Raw genomic sequence first — 5,137 nt, 5'->3', positions numbered from 1 at the left:
TATATAAATGCAAAGGAACTGGATAGCCAACACAAGTATGAAAAAGAAGAAAAATGTTGTATGTTTAATAACTTCTCTTCTTTAAATAACATTGCTAAAATAGGAGCTATTATGAAAAAATATTTACAAAACACATACTTGACACAGCACTTGTATCCAGATTGTGTGAAAAACTTTCAAAACTAAATAATGAGAAGATAACCCCTTTGAATGGTAAAAATATATAAATAGACAGTCTACCAAAGAATTATGTAGATTTTGTATAAGCACAGCAAAAACATGCTCAATTTCTCAGGGTTGTGACATAAATTAGTCTTGATTCTAGTTTATGAAAAATATCTTCTTGCTTCATTTTTATTATATAATAATGCTATTTGATATGGAATAATTATCCATTATAAGATCATTAGGCATCATAACTATGATGAGATATCAGACCCAAACCATAGTACAGCTAAAATACTGACAGTACTAAGTGGAGATGAGGATACAGAGAAACTGAATCTCTCATTCACTGGTTCTCGGAATGGGAAATAATACAACCACGTTAGAAAGTGTTTGGATAGATTCTAATAAAGTTAAACATGTACCATAAAACTCAGTCCCACTTATATATATTTATGCAAGAGAATGAAAAATATATGTCCATAAAAAGATCTCTACGTGAATATTGACAGGGGCTTTAGTTAGTGTCACACAAACACCCCCCAACCCCTACTACACACACACACACACACACACACACACCACGAACTGGAAACTATCTTCATATCTATCATGGTTTGAAGGAAGTAATTCAACGCCTCCATACTTACTTGGCAATGAAAAGAGGTTTATTACTGACACATGTACAACATTAATTTTCAAGACCTGGATACTAAGTGAAAGAAGCCAGAAACAAAATATAAAAAATGACAAACTCTGTGATTCAATGTATATGGAATTCTGGAATAGGCATAACTGTTAGGATCAAAATCAGTTTAGCTATACTCAGGGAATGGGAGATGATGTAATGGTTGTCTATAAAGGAACAAAAGGGAAGTTTTTGAGGTACTAATAAAAATACTCAATTTCTTGATTGTGAGGGTGTTTTCATTGCTATATACATTTGTCACAATTCATAGAACTAACCCTAAAAGAATGCATTTTTGTGTATGTAAATCTTATAAACCTGACAAAAAATACCTTGAAATTCACACAAATATTTACATAATAAGGGACAAATACCGGGTTTTAAAAGATGTGTACATTAATAGGTGTATTCATGTGTTTGATGTCTATCTGACTGACAGTAATATATTTTCTATTTGTAAACACAAACAAGGTAGAGAAAAAGTGCCTTATTTTAGGCAATATGCTAAGCTGGTATTTGGCAGCAGTACCACACAAAGTTGGCATGCCTTTGCCTAGGCATTTCACATTGTGAATATTTAGTACCTTAGTTGTTATTGATGTTTTCTTAATACCTAAATTATTTCATGGCATAAACTGAATGTATATTTGAAAGAAGACTTCATCTTCTAAGAATTCTAGTTGCCTCCTGATCCCAATCCACTAGGATTTATTGAGGTTTAGTAACTTGGACAACATCATAGAACTTCAAATAGGTGGTACAAGGAATCAAACTAACTACTTTGCTCTTAAGTCTGGAGCTGTTATGATTATGTCAGGACTTCCTCTTGCCTATATTGTATGGTCTGATGTTGGCTGTCTGTAGTAAGTTGATTTAGGATGACTGGGGCTAAAATTTCTCAGGCTTGTGACACAAATAAGTCTCAATTCTAGTTTATGAACAATATCTTCTTGCTTAATTTTTATTATATAATAATGCTAATTGATATGGAATAATTATCAATTATAATGAAGCTCAAAGAAAAATGCAGCTCATATCCCACTCTCCAAAAGTTCATTTATTAATGATTTGGAGTTCATTTGTTCGTACTCTTAAATTTGTATGTTTTTAGAAATTGGAAGTTTATTAAAGCTGTTTATTACTATTTTTATTGAACAATTACCATGACCTTACTTTCCACGTTAATAAATATGGATTTTTAAAATAAATTTAGGGGGTACAAGTGCAGATTTGTTACATGGACATATTTCAGAAGTCTGGGTTTTTGACAATACATGCTTGCCAAATGTAGTGTGTCCATGAGGAAATGTATGATTCCATAAATATTTTCAGAGGGCAGATAGATTTTTCCTTAACATCATAAACAATTCAATGAACAACTAGAATTCAAAATAGTAATAAATCACATATGCTAGAATAAAAAACAATGAAGTACAATGTAAATGACATATCTGTGGAAAGCTAGAATAAAACATAATGAAGTACAATGTAAATGACATATCTGTGGAAAGCTAGAATAAAACATAATGAAGTACAATGTAAATGACATATCTGTGGAAAACTGATGGAAGAAATCAAATACCTAAATTATAAGAGAGATGCTCCATACTCATATGTTAGAAGGCTCAGCATTATTTAAACTTCACTTTTTTACAACTTGAGGTGTTTGTTGAATGTAATCCCCATTAAAGTCCAATTTATGTTGTAGTTATCAATAAACTGAATCTAAAATTAAATGGAGCAACAAGAACTTAAAAATATTTGACATAATATTGAAGAAGAACCAAGCAAAAGGATTCACATGATCTTATTTTAAGATTTGCTGTAAAACTATTGTAATCAAGACAGCATAGTGTTGCAGAAATAATACATACACAAATAATGAACACATAAATGGACCAGAATAGACAGCCCAGAAATAGACCCACACAAATATAGTCAACTATCTTAGACCAAGAACCAAGGCAATTCAATGGAAAAATGAGAATCTTTTTAACAAATGAAGATGGAATGATTGGAGGTCTGCTTGCTTAAGAATGCAAAAAAAAAAACACTCTCAAACCAGACATCATAGATTTCTCAAAATTGCCTCAAAATGAATCATCTTACAGTGGAAAAATACTACTACCTAATCTACATTATCGAGATCAATATCAATAGCGATAAATCATGTTGATAATACATATGTATCTAATAACAATCTAAATCATGAGGAAAACATCAGACAAATCCAAATTTAGATAAATTGTACAAAATACTTGACTTGGCACTCTTCAAAACCATCAGGTTCATGTAAACAAGGAAATATAGGAAACTCTTACAGCTAAGGAACTCCTAAGGACATGATGACTAAATGTAATATGGTATATTGGATGGAATCCTGTAAGAAAAAGAAAAATTAGATAAAACCCAAGAGAATCTGAATAAAGTATGGATTTCAGTTAATAATAATGTATCAATATTTGTTCCTTAATTGAGACAAATATACCATACCAATGCGAGATGTTAAGCCTTGCAACAGATGTTAGGAAAGCAGATGTCAAATGTATGCAAACCCTTTACAATATCTTCACAATTTTCTTGCAAATCTAATAGCATCCCCAAATAAAATAAGTAATGCAAAACAAGGCAGGAATGAAACAATAAAGGAATAAGGCACACATGGCACAAATAGAAAACAAATAGTAAAATATGAGAATAAAACTGACTCAATCTTTAATTACATTTAATTTAAATTACATCTTGGCTTAATCCATACCATTCTTCTAAAACTGTTTTTGTCTGTATTTTGCAATTGTCAACTAAAATTGTCATCTAAGAATCCAGTGGGCTATTCTGTGTTTATATTATTGAGTGTGTTTTAACAATATTTGACTGAGTTGACCTTCTTCTCCTTGAAAAACACATCTTTATTAATTTTTGTAACTCTGCTTTCTTTTTTATTATTATTATTATACTTTAAGTTTTAGGGTACATGTGCACAATGTGCAGGTTAGTTACATATGTATACATGTGCCATGCTGGTGTGCTGCACCCATTAACTCGTCATTTAGCATTAGGTATATCTCCTAATGCTATCCCTCCCCCCCTCCCCCCACCCCACAACAGTCCCCAGAGTGTGATGTTCCCCTTCCTGTGTCCATGTGTTCTCATTGTTCAATTCCCATCTATGAGTGAGAACACGTGGTGTTTGGTTTTTTGTCCTTGGCGATAGTTTACTGAGAATGATGATTTCCAATTTCATCCATGTCCCTGCAAAGGACATGAACTCATCATTTTTTATGGCTGCATAGTATTCCATGGTGTATATGTGCCACATTTTCTTAATCCAGTCTATCATTGTTGGACATTTGGGTTGGTTCCAAGTCTCTGCTATTGTGAATAGTGCCGCAATAAACATACATGTGCATGTGTCTTTATAGCAGCATGATTTCTAGTCCTTTGGGTATATACCCAGTAATGGGATGGCTGGGTCAAATGGTATTTCTAGTTCTAGATCCCTGAGGAATCGCCACACTGACTTCCTATTTAGGGATCATTTTCCTTTTTTATTACTCCTTTACCCACGGTGCAATTATTGAATAGTCCAGGCTGGCCTGAGCTTTATCCTCTTCTTACAAGATAATGTCCATTCCTATAACTTTCAATGTCATGCAAAATATACTCAAATTTATGCCACAAATGCACATTTCAGCTCTGAGCTAACTTATCTAGTTGTTTAGTTGATATCTCCATTTGAATGTCATCCACATATTTCTGGCTTCACATAGATAAAATCGACATTCTTATCCACTCCATTAGTCCTCAATCATGTTATTCCCTCAGATTCTTCTATCTTGGTAAATACAATCAACATTAATTCAGCTATGCCAGGCAGAAATCTAGATGTTATTCTTAATCCCTCTTTCTTTTTTTACTTTTCATTTACAACTTATAAATAAGTCTTTAATTTTGCCAGACACACAAAAAAAGCTCACACCATTTTCTTTTTGTTTCTGCACTAATATCATGCTAAATCAAGTCACTGTCATCCTCCCATGGACCACCACAGTAACCTCTTAACTGTTCCAATTTTTTCCACTTTTGTTCACATCATCTTAATTATTTAAAGACAAGCCAAAAGTATCTCTTTAAATATAAATCAGATTATGTTAATCTCCTGCTTAAATCCCTTCATTGACTTCCCATTCATTCAAATAAAGTTCAAACTTGACAAGGCCCTATATTATCTAGATAATTCTGTATTATCATATATCTACTTTTTTTCTTCCTACTGTTCCTCTT

Source organism: Homo sapiens, chromosome 2, assembly GCF_000001405.40.
Source record: "Homo sapiens chromosome 2, GRCh38.p14 Primary Assembly".
NCBI classification, from domain to species: domain Eukaryota; kingdom Metazoa; phylum Chordata; class Mammalia; order Primates; family Hominidae; genus Homo; species Homo sapiens.
Note: the sequence above shows the minus strand (reverse complement) of the source record.